Here is a 25,475-nt window from a genome sequence, read left to right as displayed (position 1 = left end):
CCGCTAGGCCAGGGCTGCCCAACACAACTCCCCGCAGTGAGGGCAAGGCCCACCCCTGCCCTGTCCCCACAGAGCCACTTGCCACGTGTGACGTTCGAGCACTTGAAATGTGGCCAGTGCAACCAAGGAACTGGCTTCTATATTTTATTTTTTCAATTAATTTTAACTTAAATGTGAATAGCCAGGTGTGGCAAGTGGCTGTAGATTGGACTGTACAGCTGTCCCTTTTCAGCCATCCAGCTGTGTGACCTTAGGTAGGTCACCTGGCTTGAGCCCTATTTACACAATTAGGATGTTGGACTAAACCTTAAAAGGCCTTTTCATCTCTAATGGGTGAGGATTCAAGGTGGTTATTTTACATATGCTTGAAATAAATATATACATTTTATTTTTATTTTTTTTTTCTTCAGACGGAGTCTTGCTCTTTTGCCAGGCTAGAGTGCATTGGTCCAATCTCGGCTCTCTGCAACCTCCACTTCCCGGGTTCAGTTGATTCTCCTGCCTCAGTCTCCTGAGTAGCTGGGATTACGGGTGCCTGCCACTACACCTGGCTAATTTTTGTAGTTTTTTGTTTGTTTGTTTTGAGACAGTCTCACTGTGTTGCCCAGGCTGGAGTGAAGTGGTGAGATCTTGGCTCGCTGCAACCTCTACCTCCTGGGTTCAAGCAATTCTCCTGACTCAGCCTCCCGAGTAGCTGGGACTACAGGTGTGTGCCAATATGCCTGGCTAATTTTTTGTATTTTTAGTAGACACTGGGTTTCACCATGTTGGCCAGGCTGGTCTTGAACTCCTGACCTCAAGTGATCCACCCACCTCAGCCTCCAAAGTGCTGGGATTATAGGTGTGAGCCACCGCGCCTGGTCAATACATTTTTCTCGTAAAGGAATTTCTCTTCTTTAGAGGTTCAGAGAGAGTAAGTAACTTGCCTGAGGTCACAGAGCAAGAAGAGCCAGCTCTGGATTCAGTGCTCTCTCCAATGCCCCATGTTCCCCCCAGACATTACCATTCCTTCTGCTCTCCCCCGGCCTAGGAAAGGACCACAGGGTAGGAGACCCTGACCCAGAGGCGGGCTCTGGCTGCAGTTGACAAGCCCTGGACTTGTCAGCTGCAGGCAGGTGTGAGGCCCCACTCCCTTCACAGGGACCCTCTGCAGGGCTGGTGCCCAGGATGCCCTCAGGGTGCCACATGTGCCTCAAATAGTAGCTCTCATGGACTAGCAGCCCAAAGACTGATTTCTCAGTGCAGTCTCCATACCTTAAAGGTAGGGCTGTGTGTGTGTTTCCGTGAGAAAGAGAGGGACATCAGCTCGGGTCATTCAGCTGAATACCTGAGTCCATAGATACCTGGCTTTAAGAATAATGTCCAGCAACTTTTTAAAAAGAAGGCAGCTTTCATTGAAAGCGTGTTCAAAATGGCATCATGGTGTGTGGGAAGAGCATGAATTCTCACGAGCCAACAGTTGCAGCATTTTCTTTTTTTTTTTGAGATGGAGTCTCGCTCTGTCGCCCAGGCTGGAGTGCAGTGGCGCCATCTCGGCTCACTGCAAGCTCCGCCTCCCGGGTTCACGCCATTCCCCTGCCTCAGCCTCCCAAGTAGCTGGGACTACAGGTGCCCGCCACCACGTCCAGCTAATTTTTTTGTACTTTTAATACAGACGGGGTTTCACCGTGTTAGCCAGGATGGTCTCGATCTCCTGACTTAGTGATCCACCCGCCTCGGCCTCCCAAAGTGCTGGGATTACAGGCTTGAGCCATCGCTCCCGGCTGAGTTGCAGCATTTTCTTGCCTAGGGTGGGCAGACTCACAAGTGCCCAGCCTGTTTTACATTCTGTAGGCAAATCTAGAAAAGGCGGGATTCAAAGTACAACCTTGGGGGGAAAGCACCTGATAATTTCACATCCTCTTACTGCCCCAGAGTAGGGTTTCATGTAAATGTGTCCTCATTTTGGAGTGCACAGGGCTTTTTGCTTTGGCTGTTGTTTACATTTTTACACTCTCAGGACACTCTGCAGGCTCTGGTTTGTGCTGGAGTAAGGGATCTCCAAGGAAGAGAGAGATCAGGCTTGAAATCATACCTCTCAGTTTTCATCATGCCCCCCTCAGTGGGTTCCCAGCAGGCAAGAAAGAGAATGGTGGGGGTTTATGACCGGGCTGGGGGTCAGACCTGCTTCTGAGACCCTGACTCTGTTCTGTCTGACGTTAGCCTTGGGCTCCTGCCTGTCTGCACCCATTTCTTGTAAGGCGAAAGCTCCCAGATCAGCCCCTGCTCACGGTCTCTTTCCCCTGCCTTGAGCTGGGGAGAGATCTCCTGGTGAGAAGGGTCAGAGTGTTTGCAATTGAACCCCCAGTAAGAAACAGAGTGGCAAGAGCAGCTTCCCTTCACATCTCAGACCCCTGAGGAATCATTGCTCCTCTCTTTCCTCCTGCCCATAGCCACAACCTTCCTCCATATGTGACTGCTTTGGGAGCCCCTAGCCTCTGCAGGAACTACTTGGCAATAGTCAAAGATGCAGTGGTGTACAATTGGATTGTCTAGTTACTGAAACTGGCTGGCACTCTGATTGCAGCTACCCCAGGCACAGTTGTCAGGCAGGCAAAATTTGCCTTGGGTGCCAACCCACTTCCTCTTTGTACCTTTGGTTATTCAAAACTCCCATCTCTGGTGGGGTGCAGTGGCTTATGCCTGTAATCCTAGCACTTTGGGAGGCCAAGGCAGGCGAATCACCTGAGGTCAGGAGTTTGAGACCAGCCTGACCAACGTGGAGAAACCCCGTCTCTACTAAAAATACAAAATTAGCTGGGTGTGGTGATGCATGCTTGTAATCCCAGCTACTCGGGAGGCTGAGGCAGGAGAATCGCTTGAACCTGGGAGGTGGAGGTTGTGGTGAGCTGAGATTGCGCCATTGCACTCCAGTCTGGGCAACAAGAACAAAACTCCGTCTCAAAAACAAACAGAAAACAAAAACAAAACTCCCAGCTCCTGTCTCCTTTTCCCAGGGCCTGGCTCTCGGCTTGCTGCCTGATGAGCTGGTTCACAGTGTTGGTTAATAAGGGCATGAGGTGCCTTTTCTAAGCATGAGCATTTAAACTGTGGGTTACTATTCCTCCAAAAGAACTGCCATCTGGATCCTGAGGTATAGATGGAGTTGGGGGGAATCAATGGTCTTTGGGAGACTAGGGAGGAAGAGTTTTGCAGCCTAAGGGGTCAGGCTTTGAGGGCTGCCCCTAGATCAGAGAGATGGACACATTGTTTTGCTTCAGTTTCCTCAAGGGTAAAATGGGGACAAGGTCACTTCCTCAAGGGCTTCTTGTAATGATTAAATGAGGCAAAACGTGCAAAGTGCCCTGGCAGACAGAACCCTCTACAGATCTTAAAAATGAGCTCCAAGGCCAGGCGCAGTGGCTCATGCCTGTAATCTCAGCACTTTGGGAGGCCAACATGGGAGGATCACCTGGGGCCAGGAGTTCAAGACCGGCCTGGGCAACATAGCCAGACCTCATCTCTACAACAAATTTTTAAAATTAGCCAGGTGTGGCAGTGCATACCTGTAGTCCCAGCGACTTGGGAGGCTGAGGTGGGAGGACTGCTTGAGCCTGAGAGGTTGAGGCTACTGTGAGCCATGATTGTACCATTGCACTCCAGCCTGGGTAACAGAATGAGACTCCATTTCTTAAATAAAAAAAAAAGAGCTCCAAGAAGCAGGGGTGATGTCTTTTCTTAGCATGCAGTGCAGAGCCTTGTAGTAGATATTCAGGAATTGCACTGAGTCTGTGAAGGAACGTGCAGATGAGTGGATGCCTTTGGTGTGTGCATTCCTGTCTGTGTGCTGGGGAGTGGGCTCCCAGGGCGACTGAGAGCTCTGCCAGGGTCCAGGTTCCCTTCCTGTCTCTCACCACTGAACACTGCCTCCTACACCCACCAAAGGTGTCAGAGATGGCTTGTGAATGGTTAAATGCAAATATGGAAGGAGACCCTGAAAAAAGAGCAGCAATTAAGAAACAGCTTTTTTATTTTATTTTATTTTATTTTATTTTATTTTATTTTATTTTATTTTATTTTATTTTTGAGATGGAGTCTTGCTCTGTCACCCAAGCTAGAATGCAGTGGCTTGATCTCGGCTCACTGAAACTTCTCCCTCCCGGGTTCAAGCGATTTTCCTGCCTCAGCCTCCTGTGTAACTGGGATTACAGGCATGCGCCACCACGCCTGGCTGATTTTTGTATTTTTAGTAAAGACGGGGTTTCACCATGTTGGTTAGGCTGGTCTCGAACTCCTGACCTCGTGATCCGCCCGCCTCGGCCTCCCAAAGTGCTGGGATTACAGGCGTGAGCCACAGCACCCAGCCAAGAAACAAGTTTTAAAATAATTGTGGTGGTGCTATTTTCCCTTGAGAATTAACTGAGGGTGGACTTGACTACATTGAAGAGATGCATGTGTCTCGGGGGTGACGTGAGGGAGGGTGTCATCAATTGTTCACTTTACTGCTTCAGGGACACAGAAAACGGACCTCATTTTCTATGACAGGCACGATATCTTCCCCTCTTTTTTAGGTAGGGGAGGGTACATCTTAACGTTTGCCAGTGTACATCAGGTGGGGCCTCCGTTTCTTCTGTCTCCTGGGCGACTCAGGCTCTGTGGTTCCTCTCCGCCCCCTCCCATCTCGGATGGCCTCTGGGGCCTTTGAGACCTGATATTGGCCGGAAAAGGGGTCTGGGGCCCTCACTGGGTTCTGTTGCACAGTGGCTGGGCTGGCCTGGCCTCTAAACGGGAAACATGGAAGTGGCCTTCTGGGAGCCATGCTGGCTTAAAGTGCTCTCTGCTCACTGGTGCCAGCTTGTCCATCCCCAGACAGTCCACCAGGCCTGGGGTCATGCGAGGGATGGGGTGTGGCTTCAGACTCACTTCTCCTCCAAGTCATGTTCCTCCAAGGCAGCCTTGCAGAAACCTGGTTTCTCTGAGGGGCTTGCAGCCTGCCCAGTCTGTGCTGAAAAACAAAGGTTCAGCCTCTTGTTCACAGTCTTGATGTTTCTCCATCTCCCCCTCCCCTATGGTTGGGCTGGGTGGAGCTGGAATTGGGGGGTGGGGTGAGGACCTCCTCCTCCTTCCATCTTCCCTCTTTTTCAGCTTCTGCTGGGCTGGAAAGGACCAGCGATCTGCTTCCTCTTCCCCCCCCCTTTTTTTTTTTTGAGATGGCGTCTCGCTCTGTCGCCCAGGCTGGAGTGCAGTGGTGCGATCTCAGCTCACTGTGACCTCCACCTCCCAGGTTCAAGTGATTCTCCTGCCTCAGCCTCCCGAGTAGCTGGAACTACATGTGCATGCCATCACACCTAGCTAAATTTTTTGTATTTTTAGTAGAGACAGGATTTCACCGTGTTAGCCAGGATGCTCTCGATCTCCTGACCTCGTGATCCTTTCTCCTTGGCCTCCGAAAGTGCTGGGATTACAGGTGTGAGCCACCACACCCGGCCTTCCTCTTCCTTTTGACCACAGATATCCCTGTTGATATTTTCTCCTCACTGTACAAGCCTCAGAGTTCAGCCTCAGTAGCGAAAGGGATATTTATCTTCTTCATTTTTTTTTTTTTTTTGAGACAGAGTCTCACACTGTCACCCAGGCTGGAGTGCAGTGGCTTGATCTCAGCTCACTGCAACCTCTGCCTCCCAGGCTCACGCGATTCTCCAGCCTCAGCCTCTCCAGTAGCTGGGATTACAGGCACGTGCCACCACACCCAGCTAATTTTTGTATTTTTAGTAAAGATGCGGTTTCACCATGTTGGTCAGGCTGGTCTTGAACTCCTGACCTCAGGTGATCCGCCCACCTCAGCCTCCCAAAGTGCTGGGATTACAGGCATGAGCCACCGCGTCCTTTTTCTTTTATAAACTTGTGACTATCCTAATCTTCCTTGAGAAAATAGCAGGAAAGGTCACATACGAGAGAGAGCACAGCAGTGTGAATTCAAAATGTCATCCTTGTCTGCATATGGGTTGGCTGCCAGGCTTCTCGGGAGAAGGCACGAGTGGCGTAGTGGCCCTTGGCTCTCTAAGAACTTATCCTTGCCCCTCCCTTTACACCTGTTGCCCGGGCTCATTCCTCGTGCTCCAGCCCCACTCCTGTCTTTCTGGTCCCTAGACCATGTCAGTTATGCCTGTGTTTGGATCCTTCCGGTCAGCTCTTCCCTTTGCTTCAGCTTCTCCTCTAGCTGCTTCTCAGCTGAGTTTCTTCTCAGCCATTCGTTTATTCAACAGCTTTTAAAGTGAGTCATTACAATTATTAGACACGATGCTGGGCACTGAGAGTTCTGTGGTGAGCAAGAGGAGCCCACGGTTTAAAGAAGGGAGACCCAGGCAATCCCCTGGATGGGTGCCAACGTTCCCCAGTGCCAGGAAGGAGCGGGAGGGTGCAGTGAGAGCTCGTGAGAGGGATCTGCAGGAGTCTAGGGAGTAGGGGATGCTTTCCTGAGGAAGTGAGGATGAAGCTGGGATCTGAAGGCGGAAGAGGATGTGGAGTGATCTAATTTGAGGCCAGGTTCTGTCTCACACATGGCTGAGTCCAGTTGATTTTGCCTTCTCAATATCTCAAATCTATCCACTTGTCTCCCTCCAGCGAAACCCCACTGACCCCACTGACTGAGTCTGAGGGACGTCTTCAGGTTTCACCAGTCACTTGGAGCAGCGTTTGGTGACCCCTTTTCCCCTGGCTTTCCTGATGCACATCCTCTGGTTTTCTTCCTCCTTCTCAGATCCGTCCCTCCTGAGTCCCATATGATATTGCCCCCCTCTACCTATAACCAGCTGCGAAGTCGCAGAGTTCCTCCAGCCCAGGCTGCTCACTTTCTCTCCAGGCGAGCAGGAAATTCTGTCCATGCTGTGGCCTCAGCTATTGCTTACACAGAGACGGCCTACAACTTTAATCACTCAGACATCTCCACTGAACCCTAGCTGTTTACTTAACATTTCCTCTAAGTGGAAATGTTAACAGCTCAATATGTGTCTAAAATAGAACTCATGATCTTTCCCTCTAACCCTGTTCCTTTCCAGAATTCCTGGTGTCAGTGAATAGCCTGCCATCCTCTTACACAAGCCAGAGATCTTGAGTCATCTTTGATGCCTTCTTCTCTATCACTCCCATATCCAATCAGTCATTGAGTTCTGGAGATTTGACCTTCTAAATAAATATCTCTCAAGTTCACCTACTCTTCTCCCTCATCCACCACCATCAGCTTAGTCCAAGTCACCGTCAATTTTTGCTATGTCGCCCAAGCTGGAGTGCAGTGGCGCGATCTCGGCTCACTACAACCTCCGCCTCCCAGGTTCGAGCAATTCTCCTGCCTCAGCCCCCTGAGTAGCTGGGATTATAGGCATGCGCCACCACGCCTGGCTAATTTTTGTATTTTTAGTAGAGACAGGGTTTCACCATGTTGGCCAGGATGGTCTTGATCTCCTGACCTCATGATCCACCTGCCTCGGCCTCACAAAGTTCTGGGATTACAGGCGTGAGCCACCACGCCCGGCCTCAGATTGAGCTTTTTGAATCATCACAACGCATCACATCATCTACTTCCAATCTTGAAATCCTTCCGTGGCTTTTTAATTCCTCTTAGGAGGAAGAAAGGAATCTTCCATAATGTCTGCAAGGCCCTGCCTGATCTCATACCACTCTCTCCTTATTGCCTCCATTGAAGTCTTCTATGGAATTTGAAGGGCATTGCCCTCCTTGCTTGGACTTGGGAAACCCAATAACACATTTACAACCATCTCTCAGGGTGAGAGTGATTCTGTAGATGGCTACTCCTATCTGTCTTATGTTGATCATTCTTAGCTTCAGTTAAAGAGAGGGTCTTGTCTGTTAGTCCTCAGAATGTATTCTTGGAGCCGTATTAGTCAGGATTCTCTGAAGGGAAGAACTAATAGGCTACATGTATATATGAAGGGGAGTTTATTAAGGAGTAGTGACTCACACGATCACAAGGTGAAGTCCCATAATAGACCATCTGCAAACTGAGGAGCAAGGAAGCCAGTCCAAGGCCCAAAACCTCAAAAATAGGGAAGCCGACAGTGCAGCCTTCAGTCTGTGGCCAAAGGCCCAAGAGCCCCTGGCAAACCCCTGGTGTAAGTCCAACAGTCCAAAAGCTGAAGAACTTGGAGTCTGATGTTCAAGAGCAGGAAGCATCCAGCACGGGCGAAAAACGAAGGCCAGAAGACTCAGCAAGTCCGCTCATTCTACTTTCTTCTGCCTGTTTTGTTCTAGCCATGCTGGCAGTTGATTAGATGGTGCCCACCCAGATTGAGGGAGGGTTGGCCTCTCCCAGTCCACTGACTCAAATATTAATCTCTTTTGGCAACACCCTCACAGACACACCCAGGAACAATACTTTGCATTCTTCAATCCAATCAAGTTGACACTTGATATTAGCTATAACAGAGCCCAAGACCCTCTACATACCTATCACAAGCTATGTGGTTCTTGTTAATGGTTATTATTTGTAAATGGAAGAATGAACTATCTTTAAAGTGTAGATTTTCTTGTGTGTGTGTGTGGTTTTTTTTTGTTTTGTTTTGTTTTTTGTTGAGACAGAGTCTCCCTCTGTTGCCCAGGCCGGAGTGCAGTGGTGGGATTGCAGCTCACTGAATCCTCCATCTTTCGGGTTCAAGTGATTTTCCTGCCCCAGCCTCCAGAGTAGCTGGGATTGCAGGTGTGCACCACTACACCTCGGTAATTTTTGTATTTTTCGTAGAGATGGGGTTTCACCATGTTGGCCAGGCTGATCTCAAACTCCTGACCTCAAGTGATCTGCCCACCTTGGCCTCCCAAAATGTTGGGATTACAGGCATGAGCCACCACTCCTGGCCTAAAACATAGATTTTCCTGGTTCCCTCTTGATTATGAGACTGTGATCCAGGATATTCGCAGGGAAATCACTCTTAGGAACACTTGCTGTGTCTCTATGATTTCTTTGTTTTCCCATTGTAGCCATGGAAATAAAGAAACCTTCTCTTGCCGGGGAATCAAGCTGGCTGTTGACTGGTTCAGGGACAGAGGACACACCTACATCAAAGTTTTTGTTCCATCCTGGAGGAAGGACCCACCAAGAGCTGACACCCCTATCAGAGGTATGCTGGAGCAGATGTATGCTCAAGAGGTACTAGACACGTTTCCTTGGTGCACTTCTAACATCGATAGTCAAATATCTACTTAGTTGTTTGTTTAATGATATTTGTCTTCCTCACTGCGCTATAAGCTCCATGAAGGCACTGATTATGACTGTTCAATGCCATAGCCCTAGCACCTAGCACCTAGCGTAACACCTGGTATTCAACAAGTAGTTCAAAATTAGGCGTTCAATAAGCAGTTGTTGAGTAGATGAATGAACAAACTACTCTTTTGGTGTGTTAAGTTATCAAAATAATTGTGCCTGACAACTTTTAACACCTGAAGAGACACTGGATCTGTATTCCACTTCTAATAGTTTATAGGATTTGAAAGAGACATTTATTTGGTCAGGTAATACTTATTTACCAAGTACTTCATCTAATCTCTTTATTTAAAAAGAAGAAGAAAACTGAGACCCAGGGAATTCTTCTTCTTCTTTTTTTTTTTTTTTGAGACCAAATCTTGCTCTGTCGCCAAGCTGGAGTGCAGTGGCATGATCTCGGCTCACTGCAACCTCCTCCTCCCGGGTTCAAGTGATTCTCCTGCCTCAGCCTCCCAAGTAGCTGGGATTACATGCATGTGCCACCACACCCAACTAATTTTTATATTTTTAGTAGAGATGGAGTTTCACCATGTTGGCCAGGATGGTCTCAATCTCTTGACTTCATGATCCGCCCACCTCGAACTCCCAAAGTGCTGGGATTAGAGGCGAGAGCCACCTCACCCAGCCTCTTCATTTTTAATTCTTCAATCAGCTAGGAATATTTTAACCTACAAATATTAGAATACTGCAGTTTTATTATTTATTTATTTAGTTTTGAGATGGAGTCTCACTATGGCTCATTGCAGACTTGCTCTCCCCTGGCTCAGGAGATCCTCCTACCTTAGCTTCTTCAGTAGCTGGGACTATAGGTGCATATCACCACACCCAGCTAGTTTCTTTCTTTCTTTTTTTTTTTTGACATGGAGTTTCACTCTTGTCGCCCAGGCCATAGTACAACGGCACAATCTCAGCTCACTGCAACCTCTGCCTCTCAGGTTCAAGCGATTCTCCTGCTTTAGCCTCCTGAGTAGCTGGGACTACAGGCGCGTGCCACCACGCCCAGCTAATTTTTGTATTTTTATTAGAGATGGGGTTTCATCATGTTGGCTGGTCTTGAACTCCTGACCTCAGGTGATCCACCCACCTCTGCCTCCCAAAGTGCTGGGATTACATGTGTGAGCCACCGCACCCTGCCCTAGCTAGTTTTTGTTTTTTGTAGAGATGGGGTTTCACCATGTTGCTCAGGCTGGTCTTTAACTTCTGGACGCAAGCCATCCCTCTGCCTTGGCCTCCCAAAGTGCTAGGATTACTGGCATGAGCCACCAGGCACGGTCAGAACACTGTGGTTTAAACAAACAGGGTCTTGTTTGTTGTTTGGCTTCTTATACAGTTGAGTATCCCTTATCTGAAGTACTTGGGAGCAGAAGTGTTTTGGATTTCTGAATATTTTCATTATGCTTACTGGCTGAGCATTCCTAATCCAAAAATCCCAAATCTGAAATGCTCCAATGAGTATTTGCTTTGAACATCATGTTGGTCGGATTTTTGGATTAGGGATGCTCACCTGTGAGAAGAGAGCAGCTGCAAAGCTCTTTATTATTATGATCAAGTGTTATGTGCTGTACATAATTGTACGTGCTAGACTTTTACACAACTGGCAGCACAGAAGAGTGTTTCCACCAGCATCACCTCAGGCACATGAGTCACACGTCACACTACAAGGTCAGGATGGCTATGATGATAGGAATTTTTCAACTCTGTTATAGTCTTATGGGACCACTGTCACACACGTGGTCTGAATCATTGTTATGCAGTGCATGACTATATCTGCGCAGTTGCCATGGGTTTTCTCTCCTAGTATGAAAACTTCTCCCTGAATGGCAGTGTGGACCATTTGTGTTGACTGGCAGTTTTCACTTTAGTATACCTGGCATGGAGCAGGCAGGCAGCCTGGCGCCTCTGCCCACCACTTATTCCAATGGCAGAATGATGATGGTTTTATTCTAGGAGGTCAACAGCCACAATGGGAGGCTTCTTCCTTCCTAGTTGTAGCTTCACTTTCTTTATAGGGATAGGGATGGGAAATGAGTGGAGGTCCATTCTCCTGGGAGCAGCTGCCAGGGAGTAGCTCAGCTCACCTGTTAGTCATCCCGATTTTGCCCGACTTCCACTCCATCTCCACCACCAGAAGTGCTCCAAGACTGCAGGGCAATGGCTCCCACCTCCACTCCAGCCTTCTGCGCATATTCTGGGCTGTGGTTCCCTCCATGCTGCACAATCAATACAATCCTCTCTGCTTTCTGTCTTCCCAAAGTATGTCAAAATCCTGGGTTTGCTGCTGTCCCCAAACCTACTTTTAACATGATTATAGATCTCCCCCCACCTTTCATTACATTGGAACTATGAGAAAGAGGGAATATAAATACTTGTGTTCAGTTCCCTGTCATGAACTGGTTGTCCTGAATTATTCTTTATGGTCTGAATGTGAAGAATGGTGAATTTCAACAGTAGTGTAATACTTAAATATAATGTGGGAAAAGTAGAGAAATTACTTTGGGATAGGGAAGGAATTTTTAAATAAGCCACAACAAGTGCAAACTTATGAAGAAAGATGAATACATTTGACTATACTAAAATAAAAGCTTTTATTCATTAACAGATACCACAAAAACAAAAAAGTGGAAAGACAAGTCTCAAACTGGGGTGAGGGTGTGGGGGCGGGTTACACATCACACATTACTGATGAAGGATTACTGCCTAGATCTTGAGAGAACTTCTCCAAATCAAAGAGACAAAGACAATGAATCAACAGAAAGATGGGCTAAAGCATGAATAAGCTGTTTACAGAAAAGAAAACATATATGGCCATATAAACATACAAACATATGAAAAGATGCTCAATCTCATTAGCAACCAGAGAAATGCAAAATAAAACCACAATAGGAGGCCATTTTGTGCCCACCAGATTGGCAAACATCCAAAAGCCTGAAAATGCCAAGTATCGGCAAGGTTGTCTTATGTGCTGTGTTGGGTATGTAACTTGGCATCGCCACTCTGGAAAACAATTTGGCATTACCTTGTAAAGTGCCTTCCATACAGCTCAGCCATATTCACTCTTGGAGATATACCCTGAAGAGGTCCTTGCCTCTTCTGTGCCGGGGACTTAGATGCAGGACTAATAGTGATGAACATATGGCACAACCAAACCTCGCAAACACAATGATGAACGAAAAAGACAAGCTGCTTAAGTATATGTATAGTATGATTCCATTTGTGTCAAGTCTGATGTGTAACCACACTGAAAATGATCCTCAGTGGGGCATGGTGACTCACGCCTGTAATCCCAGCACTTTGGGAGGTTGAGGTGGGTGGATGCTTGAGTCTAGAAGTTTGAGACCAGCTTGGGCAACATGGCGAATTCCCATCTTTACAAAAAATAAAAAAATTAGCTGAGCGTGGTGGTGCATGCCTGTAGTCCTAGCTGCACGGAAGGCTGAGGTAAGAGGATCACCTGAGCCTTGAGGGTAGAAGCAGCAGTGAGCCATGATTGTGCTACTGCACTCCAGCCTGGGTGACACAGTGAGATCTTGTCTCAAAAAAAAAAAAAAAAAAAAAAAAAGAAACGAAAAAAAAAAAGAAAAAGAAAGAAAGAAAATGATTCTCATAATCTGCATTTTTAAAAATAAAAGCAAGGAAATCATAAACACGGAGTTCTAAAACTAGGGTTGTCCTAAGGGCTTAAGGGGAATGGAGAGGATCGCAGACTGAGGGGGCAGAGGGGACTTCCAAACATGAGCCACCTCCTATTTCTCAAAGGAGGTGCTAGATATGTGGCGTCTTTATTTTTGTTCTTTGTACCATAGCTGCATTATGCACGTTTTAAAAATCAGCCAACAGTGTCATATGGGAAAGGACTTAAACTTGAGGGACCTGAGTAATTATTATGTGTCAAACGGATTTTTTTTTTCCTGCATGTCTCCAAAGGCAAAATCCAGATCAAACAGCTGACCCTCCTGGGATGCAGATTTTAGCCTCTGATAAGAAAGGCCTTGTAATGTTTGTACCATCTGGTGCATGTTTACCTCTTGACTAGTTTTTGCAAGAACTCGCACTCACTTGAGCTCAGTCCACTCACAGACACTCTGAGACAGGAAGAGGAGGCGTTGCTATCTTCATTTTATAAATATAAAACTGGATGGACATTCAACCGGGGTGAAGTACCCAGGAACTGGAGCCCGGCCCAGACTCCAGGCTGGATTCCTAGTCCTGGATGCTTTCTATGATGTTCTTGAGTCCCTGTATCTGTCAGTGATGGGGTGCTCCATCCCAAAGGTGTCCCAGGCAGGTTCCTGGATGGTGGGAGAAGATGGACCTCTGGCTCCCAGCTAGGGGCCCATGCAGGGCTTTCCAGGTGAATGCCAGGCTCCCCGTCATGCTGAAGGCATCATCAAGGTCCGGGTTAATACAGGAATGTCTTTCTCCAGGAGGCCCCTGTGCCTGCTGCGATAGGGGCATTGTGGCATGGAACCCTCAAAAGGACAAGGGCTGTGGCTGAACCCTTCCTTCTGAAGTGACTCTCCCTTGTAGAGTATCGCTTTCTGGACTCCTGTCATGATGTGGGCAGGACGGAAGCCACGCGCCTGCCTGCTTGACCTGGGGCTTCAGGCAAATTCAGTGAAATTGAGTGAAAGGAGCGAACGCTATGGCGGCAAAAACTGGTGTTTTTTCCCCGCTCCCCTCAAAACCTCATCTGACCGGCCCGGGAAGCGGGTGGCCTCGCGTTGGGGGTGGTTCTCAGGGGCGGTGCCCTTGGGCCCTCACCCGCGTCTCCGTCGCCCCGCCCTCAGAGCAGCACGTGCTGGCGGAGCTGGAGCGGCAGGCGGTGCTGGTGTACACGCCGTCCCGCAAGGTGCACGGCAAGCGCCTGGTCTGCTACGACGACCGCTACATCGTGAAGGTGGCCTACGAGCAGGACGGCGTCATCGTCTCCAACGACAACTACCGGGACCTGCAGAGCGAGAACCCCGAGTGGAAGTGGTTCATCGAGCAGAGGCTGCTCATGTTCTCCTTCGTCAACGACCGGTAGGTCCGGCTGGGGTCCTGACACCCTGGGGGGCGGCGGGGCGGGGGGCCGGGGTCGAGGCAGTGGCCACGCCTGCTACCAGGTGGAGGAGCTTGGGGTCACCCGGTCACCCAGCCCCTCAGACAGAGCTCCCCCAGGTCCGCATTCTCGGCGGGCACGTCCCCAATAGGTGGGCTGCTTTGCTCTGACCTTGCTGTTCCCAGGGCCACATCTGACACACCACAGAGAAGCCCAAGAGGTGGGCCAAGCATGCAAGCATGTGTTTAGGGCACCACTAACTTAAAAAAACAGAATTGCATACTTCAGAATATTGAAATAGTCATCATGGAAAAGATCTGTACTTTGTTGTATTGCTTTTCACTTATTTCAGGTTTTTGTCTTATTTTATTTTATTTTATTTTATTTTATTTTTTGAGATGGAGTCTTGCTCTGTCACCCAGGCTGGAGTGCAGTGGCTCAATCTTGGCTCACTGCAAACTCTGCCTCCCAGGTTCAAGCAATTCTCCTGCCTCAGCCTCCCGAGTAGCTGAGATTATAGGCACGCACCACCATGCCTGGCTAATTTTTTGTATTTTTAGTAGAGATGGAGTTTCACCATGTTAGCCAGATGGTCTCGATCTCCTGACCTTGTGATCTGTCCACCTCGGCTTCCCAAAGTGCTGGGATTACAGGCTTGAGCCACCGTGCCTGGCTGTCTTTTTTTTTTTTTTAAATCAAAATTTTGAATTACATATGGGAGTAGGCAACAGATTTTTTTTTTTCTTTGACAGGGTCTTGCTCTATTGCCCAGGTTGGAGTGCAGTGGCATGATCACAGCTCACTGCAGCCTTGAACACCTGGGCTCAAGCGATCCTCCTGCCTCAGCCTCCCAAAGTGTTGAGATTTTAGGTGTCAGCCACTGAGCCCAGCCCAGAATCTTTTCTTCTGGGCTGTAAATATCTCCCCCTGCCTGGCCCTGACTCTGGGTTGAAATGTTCAAGAGAACCTGGCTGGTTCATGTAGCCCTGAAATAGGCCTCTTGGGTCAGTTCATCCCAGACCAACCGGCTATGGCTGGAGGCAGAGAGGGACACAGGGCCACAGGCACAAACCACTCAGCTAATGGTGAGGGCAGACACTGGCAAGGTGGATGAGGGTCTGGAGACCCGAGCAGCGTGTGACAGAGCACAGCCAGCTGGGCTGTTGCTCCCATTTCCATTTCTGTTCCAGGCAGTGTTAGCTTGGCCCTCATTCTGGGCTCTCTGACTGACTTTTTGGAACGTGGTTTTAGACAAACTCCTCAGCTCTGTGAGGGCCGGGACTGTATCTGTCTTACGTGCGGTGTCTCCAGCACGCCTGGCCCACAGGGGTGCAGTAACTAGTTGTAAAGGAATGACCGAGTGAATGGCTATGGCTGGGGAAGGGTCGATGGGGAAAGAGGTCTGGGCTTAGGCTGCTTGCACACGGCTGAGCAGCTGCTGACTCTGGACCCAGGGACACAGTGTGGTGTTTGAGAAAGGGCTGGGGCTTTGGAGAGGGCAGGTGAGGTTTCCATCTGAGGCCCTGCCACTTACTGGCTGGGAGTCAAGGGGGAACCACTCAACCTCTCTGAGCTGAATGTTCTTCACCTTGAAAAGGGATTAATAATGTCACCTCTGAGATCATTGTGAGGACTAGAGAGAATTGTGCCCCAGAAGTGGTAGCAGCTATTCCCAGGACATGGTGCAGCAGGGGGTACTGTGGTCCCCAAGGCCAACTGCCCCTGCAGCCGTGGAGGTGGAGGGCCAGAGGCATGGCAGCAGCGCCCTGCAGGAGCCCCCATTGTCATTTCCAGCTACAAAAGGCCAGCGGCTCTCACTGTCCGTCTGTAGCCTGGAGGAATCTGGCTAGTCTGGTAACTATGGGCTCCAGAAATCCTCACTGAGCTCTCAGGGACATGGCCATCTCTGGCCTGATGACAGCCTGGGGCGGGAGCCAAGTCCTTTTGACGCACTGGCCTCCGTTAAGGGCCTGCCAGGAGGCAGGACCTGCCGCCCGCTTGTGAGCGAGGGCGCCTGCCCTGGTGCCCCGGGCACGTCCACAGGGCCCTCTTGGCACAGCTCCTGCTCCTGAGAGAGCAGGAGAGGAAGTCTTTGGGAACGTTTAATAACCACAGTGGGCGGTTCCCCAGATTCTTGGTCAAGGCCCAATTCTGAGAAGCCGGCTGTGCAGCTGGGAGCTGAGCTATGGAGGCCACACAGGGCCGGGGATCACCCAGCTCTCTGCAGAGTGGGACTTCAGCATGACTCTGGATTCTTAGGGGGACAGCAACCCATAAAACATCTTCTCCTTGATTTACAATCCCAACCTCTCTACAGAACCTTTGTATGACCTGGAAGTGGCCTTGGGAACAAAAGTATTTATGTAAAAAGTGGACCTCACTCAGCGAGGGGCGTTTTCCTTCTGAGGAATTGGGTTTTCCCTGTTGAACTCTGAGCATGCATTCCCTTCCTCATTAGGGCTCCATGCCAGGGAGGAGAGAAGGGCAGATCAGGGGCAGGGCAGCCAAGGAAACTAAGACCAGACCCTGTGCCCCCAGGGTGCGCAGAGGAGGAGGTTAAGTCTGCGAGGTGGCTGTATGTGCAGGCAGCACCTGGGATCCACTTCCTCACTGATTCAAACTCCCTGTTCCTATTGAATCTCTTCGCCTGGAGGTTCACAGCCCAGAGCTGTGTTTGGCACGGGGTGAAACACAGGAGAAATGGGACCTAAGCCTCAAGGAGCTCATACAACTCTGAAACCTTCTGGAACTGTTTTTTGTTTGTTTGTTTATTTAGAGATGATAGAGTCTAGCTCTGTTGCCCAGGCTGGACTCCTGGACTCCAGGGATCCTCCTTCCTCAGCTTTTCTAGTAGCTGGAACTACAGGGGTATGACACCACTCCTGGCTTTTCTGGAGCTGTTAACCTCATAGAGGTTTCTAACCTTTTGTTGAGGACAGTGGGAAGCCAGAGGAGCCCTTAGAGCAATTATACTTTCATTTTCCTGGATAAAAATCACCTGGGAAGTTCTTTTTTTTTGGAGAAGGAGTCTCACTCTGTCATCCAGGATGGAGTGCAGTAGCATGATCTCGGCTCACTGCAACCTTCGCCTCCCGGGTTCAAGCAATTCTCCTGCCTCAGCCTCCCCAGTAGCTGGGACTACAGGTGCCCGCCACCATGCCCAGCTAATTTTTGTGTATTTTTTAGTAGAGATGAGGTTTCACCGTGTTGCCCAGGTTGGTTGTGAACTCCTGAGCTCAGGCAATCTGCCCACCTCAATCTCCCAGTTGTGCAGATTCCTGAACAACTTCAGATTCTGATGAAGCAGGTCTTGCGCGAAGCTCGGAGGCTGTCATTTTTTTTTTTTTTAGCCAGGATCTCACTCTGTTACCGGGGCTGGAGTGCAGTGGCACAATCATGACTCACTGCAGCCTCCATCTCCCAGGCTCAGCCATCCTCCCATCTCAGCCTCCCGAGTAGCTGGGACTAAAGGCATTCACCACCACATCTGGCTAATTTTCTTTTTTTTTTTTTTTTTTGCTTTCTGTAGAGACAAGGTTTCACTATGTTGTCCAGGCTGGTCTTGAACTCCTGAGCTCAAGGGATCTTTCTGCCTCAGCTTCCCAAAGTGTTGGGATTACCCATGTGAACCACTGCACTCAGATGACTGCATTTTTAAGTTGCTAGGTGATTCTGACACTGCTGGCTTGAACCACAACAGGAGAAACACCCAAAGAGGGCCAGAGCTGTGCTGTGTGCTCTGCATGGGGTTCAGTGTGAAGGGAAGGTTTTGCTTTAAGATGCTGTGACATCCTGCTGGGTGATGGTGGGCCCGGGGCCGAATGCTTCCTGGTGTTCTTGGGGAACTTGGGCCTGCTCCCTTTGTACAGGTGCTGGTGGCAAATCCCAGGTGGTCTTGCAGTTGCCCCTGTGCTTATTTTCCAGGTTCATGCCGCCTGATGACCCCCTGGGCCGCCATGGACCCTCCCTGAGCAACTTCCTGAGCAGGAAGCCGAAGCCCCCAGAGCCATCCTGGCAGCATTGTCCTTATGGTGGGTAGGGCCCAGTGCTTCGCAGGCCCTGTTCAGGGCCTTGTGTGGGGGCAGTACAGGAGCACAGTCAAAAAGCGCTGGCCTGGTGCTCAGCGGCCTGGGCTCTTGCCCAAGTTCTGCCCTCCAGCTGTGCTACCTGGAGAGTTAACTTTCCTGACAGGGTTATTGTAGAACTGACATCCTGGCCGGTGATTTCATGGGAGCCAGGATCCCATGCCAGGGTCGGATGCAGGGGTCATGCACACAGCAAAGCTGTGTCTGAGAAGCCGGGAGCCTGGACACAAACCCAGCTGCGGGTCTCAGTCCCTTCACCTGGCCCCTGGCAGCTTCTGTCCTCACCCTACCCTGCTCTCCACCCCTCCACCCTATGGACTTTGGTCACTGCTATCCATGAAGAGTTAAGAATTTTATCCCAGCACCCTGGGGGATGCCAGCCTTCTAGCCAGCTCTTTCACTGACTTGCTTCGTCAAGTTATTTGATGTTTCCAAGTTCAGTAAAGACTTGGGTGACAGTCAATCATTTCTTGTTAGAATTAGGTGACCATACATACATTCAGGCTGACTCCTCCTTCCCCCTTTCACTCTCAGAAGCCTTGGGTTTGGATAGTAACACTTGACCATTTGTTCACGACTCTGTTAGAACAGCGTGCAGGGTGAGGGCAAGCGTTAGCACAGCGAACACGGAGAACGGTGGGAACTGAGGCGGCACTGCAGGCGCAGTCCTCTGCCCCGAGCACCCACTCCCTACCGCCCGCTCCCTAAGCCTGGCCCTATCCACAGGGTCCCTGGGCAATTGGAGGCTGAAAGTCTTTGAATCCAGAGATTTGGTCTTAGTCCCTGGTCAAAGGGACCTGGGAACGACACTCCTCTGCATACCCTGGGATGAGTGTGCTCAGCGCCCCCTCACCCAGGCCGCCCGCGCCTCCCGGGCACTTCTCCCCACCTCGGCCCCGCGCCCAGATCTTGAGGCGTTTCCAGGGCGCTGAGTCTGAGGAGTCCGCGGCGGCCTGGGGGCCTGCTTGGAGGAATCTCCACGGAGAGGCCGCGGGCCGGCACTCCCCGGATGCACCAGGAACCACCGCCCCTCCGCGCCCCCGGGCCTCACGTCGCGCCCTCTCTGCCCCCGCCCCTTTCAGGCAAGAAATGCACCTATGGCATCAAGTGCAAGTTCTACCACCCGGAGAGGCCGCACCACGCGCAACTGGCGGTGGCCGACGAGCTCCGCGCCAAGACAGGGGCCCGGCCTGGCGCGGGCGCCGAGGAGCAGCGGCCACCGAGAGCCCCGGGCGGCTCCGCAGGAGCCCGGGCGGCCCCCCGGGAACCATTTGCGCACAGCCTCCCGCCGGCGCGGGGGTCCCCGGACCTGGCCGCCCTGCGAGGGAGCTTCTCTCGGCTGGCCTTCAGCGACGACCTGGGGCCCCTGGGGCCGCCTCTCCCGGTCCCCGCCTGCAGCCTCACGCCCCGACTGGGCGGGCCCGACTGGGTGTCCGCGGGCGGCCGGGTGCCAGGCCCGCTCAGCCTCCCTAGCCCGGAGAGCCAGTTCTCCCCGGGCGACCTCCCGCCTCCGCCCGGCCTGCAGCTCCAGCCGCGGGGCGAACACCGCCCTAGGGACCTGCACGGCGACTTGCTTTCCCCGCGCAGGCCACCCGACGACCCGTGGGCCCGTCCACCCCGCTCCGACCGCTTCCCTGGGCGCTCCGTCTGGGCGGAGCCGGCCTGGGGCGACGGCGCCACTGGGGGACTTTCAGTGTACGCGACCGAGGACGACGAGGGGGACGCGCGCGCCCGGGCTCGCATCGCGCTCTACAGCGTCTTCCCGCGTGACCAGGTGGACCGCGTGATGGCCGCGTTCCCGGAGCTCTCAGACCTCGCCAGGCTCATCCTCCTGGTACAGAGATGCCAGAGCGCGGGGGCGCCCCTGGGCAAGCCCTAAGGGACCAACACGCACTTGCAGGGAATGGCCCAGCCTCGCCTTGCGTCTTGGACGGGTGGACCTGTGGTTGCCAGCCTGGACCTGAGTGGGCCCATCATGGTGCCCCCTTTTCTTTAAAGATGGTCAGGGAAGCCTGCTTCCTCCTCCTGAGCGGGGTTGTGGGGGCCTGGTGGCACTTGGTGATCCTCACTGAGGCCGGGGCCTGCTGCGGGGAGGTCCACCCACTTCCGTGGAGGGAATGATTTTCCATGTGCACGGAGACTGCGGGTCCAAGCTGCAGTAGAACCCACAAGTGGGTCACAAAATCAATTTAGTGGGTCACCACCACAAACACAGTGGACTGGGACAGGGCAAAGCGCACCCTGTGCCATCAGGCTGAGTCTGAACTCTTGTTACCTATCCTGTGTCCCCACCCCCTTGGCAGCCATGTAACTAACCTCAATGTGGGTCGTAGTCAGAAGTTTAAAAAAGACTATGAATGCTCTTGAATTTCATTGCTTCAGGTAATGTTTGAAATATGTAGTCAGGTGGCCAGGGGAGGTTTGCTATCTGGAAGTTTTCATGTTAGCTATTGCTAACCCCACCCGCAAGGGCAGCCCAGCCTCCAGGTGTGGGCTCTCCTGTGCTCTGAATTGTGTGGCTGTCCTATGCTGGGGACAAGTGGTAGGAGCGCTTTGTCCCAGGGCCACCTTCTGGGGCCTTCACACACATACCCCCACCACACAAACACACACACACACACACACACACACACACAGTCTATCATACATGTACATACTCACACACACCACACAGACACATACTGTTTGGCTAAGGGTTAAGTATCTCCAATATTTTATTAGCCATCCATCATGGCAGTTTCCAGAATAGGCTTTCTACTGTACCAGCTGAGCTGCCTTCTTTTACTTCTTCTTCTTCTTCTTTTTTTAAACAGACAGAGTCTCGGCCCGGCATGGTGGCTCATGCCTGTAATCCCAGCACTTTGGAAGGCTGAGGCAGGCAGATCACTTGAGGTCAGGAGTTCGAGACCAGCCTGGCCAACATGGTGAAACCCTGTCTCTACTAAAAATACAAAAATTTAGCCAGGCATGGTGGCATACACCTGTAGTCCCAGCTACTCAGGAGGCTGAGGCAGGAGAATCACTTGAACCTGGGAGGCGGAGGTTGCAGTGAGTTGAGATCATGCCACTGCACTCCAGCCTGGGCAGCAGAGCGAGACTCCGTCTTAAAAAAAAAAAAAAGACAGAGTCTCACTCTGTCACTCTGTCTGGAGTATAGTAGTGTGATCATAGCTCACTGCAGCCTCAAACTCCTGGATTCAAGTGATCCCCCTGCCTCAGCCTCCTGAGTAACTGGGACTGTAAACATGACAGCCGCACTTCACAGTTACACTGGGGCTGGATGAGTCAGGACTTTTGCTCTCAAATCTACAGGTGGGTTAGGAGAAAACTGACATGAGCTCAGTCAGAGTTTATTGCCACCTTCCTGGTGCCGTTTCTTCTAGCCAGCTACTGCTCTGGGTTTGAGGAGAAAGGGCCTACTCATTTGCAATGGCTAAGAAGTGAGATGGTGCTGCCAGAGTGCCGACCCCCGAATCCTCAGGGGCCCTGGCCTCTCCTGGCAGCATCCACCCATTCTGGTTACCATGCCAGCCCTCCAGACTATGGCTCATTTGTTCACTAGAGGGCTTGGTAGCTTGGCAGTTTGGGGAAAGCGGGAGGCACTTCCCAGGGGAAGACCAGAGAAGACCAGCCCCCAGCCCCACAAACTTCCTGCAGCCTGCTGGTGCAGAGGGAACTCTTGCCAGTTTACTACCAGATTTCATGAGATGTTGGCAGGCCTGGGGGGCACCTCAGGGAGAGTGCGTTCCCAGCCCTTTCATTCATGGTAAATGACACCCCTGGGGCATACAGTGATGTTAGGTTTTTCTCTGAAACTTCTTTGATCTTTTAAAACCAGATTCTTAGCATGGATTGAGCCAGATCTGTTCCTTACCCCCTTTTTCCAAAGAGGACGGTGCACCCACAATTTTACCATAACATATTGGGATCTCAGGCCTGAAGATGACCCATTCTTTGTAAATAAGTTGGATTTTCCTCATAATATGTGTGGGTTTTTTTGGTGGGGGAGGAGGGGGCAGGGTTCCGCTCTGTCATCTGTCACCCAGGCTGGAGTGCAGTAGTGCAATCAGGGCTCACTGCAGCTTTGACTTCCCAGGCTCAAGCAATCCTTGTGCCTCAGCCTCCTGAGTAGCTGGGACTACAGTTGTGCCACCACGTCCAGCTAATTTTTTCTATTTTTTGTAAAGACCCAAAGCGTTGGGATTACAGGCATGAGCCACCTCAACGGGCCTTTATTTTTTTTATTTTAATTTTTATTATTATTATTTTTGAAACGGAGTCTCGCTCTGTCACCCAGGCTGGAGTGCAGTGGCGCAATCTTGGCTCACTACATGCTCCACTGCCTCCCAGGTTCATGCCATTCTCCTGCCTCAGCCTCCCAAGTAGCTGGGACTACAGGCGCCCGCCACCACATCTGGCTAACTTTTTGTATTTTTAGTAGAGATGGGGTTTCACCGTGTTAGCCAGGATGGTCTCGATCTCCTGACCTTGTGATCCCCGCCTCAGCCTCCCAAAGTGCTGGGATTATAGGCGTGAGCCACCGCGCCTGGCCCCGGGCCTTTATTTTTATTTTTAACCTTTTGACAAGACACGCTTTCTATTAGAGCTGCTTTTTGTCTCCCTGGTTCGATTTCCTGATGTAGAATCATTGTGTTGCTGATTTTTCAGTTGAAAATGTTTAAACTGCTTCCTTTGAGAACAAGTTTGAGTTTTAGTAAGCTGTAAAGCTGTTTTATTTGATTCACTGTGAATAAGACAAGTACAAAAAAAAAAGTGAAAACACAGCACATTTCAAGTGTAATCCCCTTTGGAATTTTTCCAAAGTCTTAGTATATGTCTTTGTGACAGAAAAACATAGATGGGACAGGTAAATGAAATGTTCCTAGTTGCATAGCTGTTAACCATGCTTCAAAAATAAATCATTTTTTACCACACCTGGATTCTTTATTGTCAAATTGTCTATTAGTTTCTCCTACTGGCTTTCCCCTAGATTGGTCTGTTCTGTTAAAAATTGTGGGTTTAGACTGGGCACGATGGCTCATGTCTGTAATCCCAGCACTTTGGTGGGCTTCATGAGTTCAGGAGTTCGAGACCAGCCTGGTCAACCTGGTGAGACCCTGTCTCTACTAAAAATACAAAAATTAGCTGGGTCCGTGGTGGGGCACACCTGTAATCCCAGTTGCTCGGGAGGCTGAGGCAGGAGAATCACCTTGAACCCAGGAGGCAGAGGTTGTAGTGAGCTGAGACTGTGCCACTGCGCTCTGCACTCCAGCCTGAGCGACAGAGTGAGACTCTGTCTCAAAAAACAAAAAAAAGTAGGCGTGAAGAAGACTGAGGTTGTGGCCAGTCTCAGCAGCCGCAGTTCTGTGTTGTTCCACCTGGGGGGATGTGAGGGGCTCAAATCCACCTTTTCCAGGAGAAGCAGTGAGGCCATGGCAAGGACCTCCCTTTGCTGGATGTGCAGCAGGCAGTTCCCAAGGACACAGGCTGCTTGCCCATTTCCTAGACTTCTAAAATCCTCATTATAGAACTATGAAGCCATCTCATAGAAGCTGCTCTTCTTGTTCAAACATGCAGCAGAGCTCTCCTCGACTGATCAAACCAGAGGCTGTTGCCATCTTGGGTTTGCCCTGAGGCAGCCTTCCCAGAGGCCTCTGGAAGGGGGTTTGGGGTAGAACTGTAGAATGTCAGGGGTTGAGGAGTAGAAGCAAGACAAGCCACTCTAATTGGCATTCTTCCAAATAAAATGGATCCAGCTTTGGTTTGACATTGAGCTCAGCTGAGGAGCCATGCCCCAGCTGCGGCTGGCATGGACACAGCTCAGATGAGGCCACAGAGGCTGTGGGCTTCCGGGGAAAAAGTCCATCTATGGGGTGGGGTGGGGAGAATACCGTAGAAGTCAGGGATGGGGGGAGGGAGGCATTAAGGTAAAGAAGATACAAGCTAGGAGTGATCGGGAGTGGGGTTCTGGGAACTGGAGCAATTCCTTGGAATCACAGATCCCACCAGGAGGGATTGCACAGAGCCGGGACCAGCGGCATAATCTGTGGGACTCTATGCAAAATCAAACTGCAAGGTTCCCTGTTCAAAATGTGTAACAATTTCAAGATGTCGGCAGAGCATGAAACCAAACATGGGTTCCTTCGAAGCGTAGGGCCCTGTGCGATGGCACAGGTCACATGCCCAGGAATCTAGCCCCCCATGGAGTTACCCAAAACACAAGCAAGAGAACATTCTCAGTGCCGAGAGTATGTTCAGAACAAAACATTGACTGAAAGAAGTCAGAGGCCAAGATGCATGTGCTTCATAGCTAGAAAAGGCCATGGCGTCGGAGCAGGTGCTGGTCCCCCAGCCTCTACCTGAGGGTTTGCTTGCTGCAGCCACCTGAGGACTAAGTGGGGCTCCCTTGGCTTTCCCTGGAAGGGGCTAAAGGGGAGAAGTCAAGGGGCTTGGGCAAATCACACTCTGGATTGTCCACTTCCAAATGAGTGAGAGATGTCAGTCTGGGTAGCTCTAGAATTATACGTGTTTGTATTAGCCAAAGTTCTTGGCTACAAGTATGATTCACAAAACCAAATGGCAGGAGGCCGGGGGTAGAAGGCAGCTGCTGAGTTGACCGGAATTAGGGCCTCAAAACCGTGTCAGGACTCTCGTCTGTTTCCTTCTGCACCTGTTTCCTTCTGTTTATTCTCTCCTTCCAAGGTTTTTCCTGCACAATGAGAGCCATTCTCGTGGCCGGCTTAAGCACGCATCTTTCCAACTAAAGGACTCAAGGAGACAGCCTCAGAAAGATCCTGGGGAAGGATTCTGATTGGCCTGGCTTGGGTCACGTGCACATCCCTGGACCAATCACTGTGGGATAAGGAAGTACTACAGTTGGTCCAGCCTGGATCTCAGGCCCACCTCTGGCTTGTCACCTCATAGCTGAACCCACATGGTTGGTGGTGGCTGGGGAGAGGGAGATGAGCAGTGCCCTCAAAGAAGGGGGGACACTGTTTAAGCAGACAACACACATGCCCACAGCAATGTGCAAACCTGGGCACTGCACCAAGGCTCGGGATGGCCCTGCCCTCCTCCGCCCTCTACCCTGGTCCTA

General features: G+C 50.7%; 1 protein-coding gene across 1 annotated transcript in view, besides 4 other annotated features; it reads left to right on the top strand.

Annotated features, from left to right (window-relative positions):
- Positions 1 to 24,146, top strand: part of ZC3H12D (zinc finger CCCH-type containing 12D) — a 38,220-nt gene extending 14,074 nt beyond the window's left edge. Inside the window, exons 3-6 of the mRNA NM_207360.3 lie at positions 8,971 to 9,110; positions 14,041 to 14,275; positions 18,219 to 18,325; positions 19,462 to 24,146. Of these exons, the coding sequence (NP_997243.2) occupies positions 8,971 to 9,110; positions 14,041 to 14,275; positions 18,219 to 18,325; positions 19,462 to 20,258 (1,279 nt within the window). The 3' untranslated portion in view covers positions 20,259 to 24,146. The remainder of the gene's footprint in view (positions 1 to 8,970; positions 9,111 to 14,040; positions 14,276 to 18,218; positions 18,326 to 19,461) is intronic.
- Positions 4,787 to 4,836: an enhancer, noted in NCBI's record as "active region_25256". NCBI's record gives its function as "activates an Ori minimal core promoter by ATAC-STARR-seq in GM12878 lymphoblastoid cells {active_cell/tissue: GM12878}" and the evidence as "EXISTENCE:reporter gene assay evidence [ECO:0000049][PMID:35858748]".
- Positions 4,927 to 5,156: an enhancer, noted in NCBI's record as "active region_25255". NCBI's record gives its function as "activates an Ori minimal core promoter by ATAC-STARR-seq in GM12878 lymphoblastoid cells {active_cell/tissue: GM12878}" and the evidence as "EXISTENCE:reporter gene assay evidence [ECO:0000049][PMID:35858748]".
- Positions 18,671 to 19,222: an enhancer, noted in NCBI's record as "H3K4me1 hESC enhancer chr6:149772855-149773406 (GRCh37/hg19 assembly coordinates)". NCBI's record gives its function as "activates a minimal SCP1, AML or CMV promoter by ChIP-STARR-seq in naive H9 embryonic stem cells {active_cell/tissue: H9 hESC(naive)}" and the evidence as "EXISTENCE:reporter gene assay evidence [ECO:0000049][PMID:30033119]".
- Positions 19,223 to 19,774: an enhancer, noted in NCBI's record as "H3K27ac-H3K4me1 hESC enhancer chr6:149772303-149772854 (GRCh37/hg19 assembly coordinates)". NCBI's record gives its function as "activates a minimal SCP1, AML or CMV promoter by ChIP-STARR-seq in naive H9 embryonic stem cells {active_cell/tissue: H9 hESC(naive)}" and the evidence as "EXISTENCE:reporter gene assay evidence [ECO:0000049][PMID:30033119]".
- Positions 24,147 to 25,475: the final 1,329 nt, after the last annotated feature.

The sequence above is a fragment of the Homo sapiens genome, chromosome 6 (genome assembly GCF_000001405.40).
Source record: "Homo sapiens chromosome 6, GRCh38.p14 Primary Assembly".
NCBI classification, from domain to species: Eukaryota; Metazoa; Chordata; class Mammalia; order Primates; family Hominidae; genus Homo; species Homo sapiens.
The sequence above is the reverse complement of the archived record's forward strand: the minus strand, read 5'-3'. Positions and strand labels throughout refer to the sequence as shown.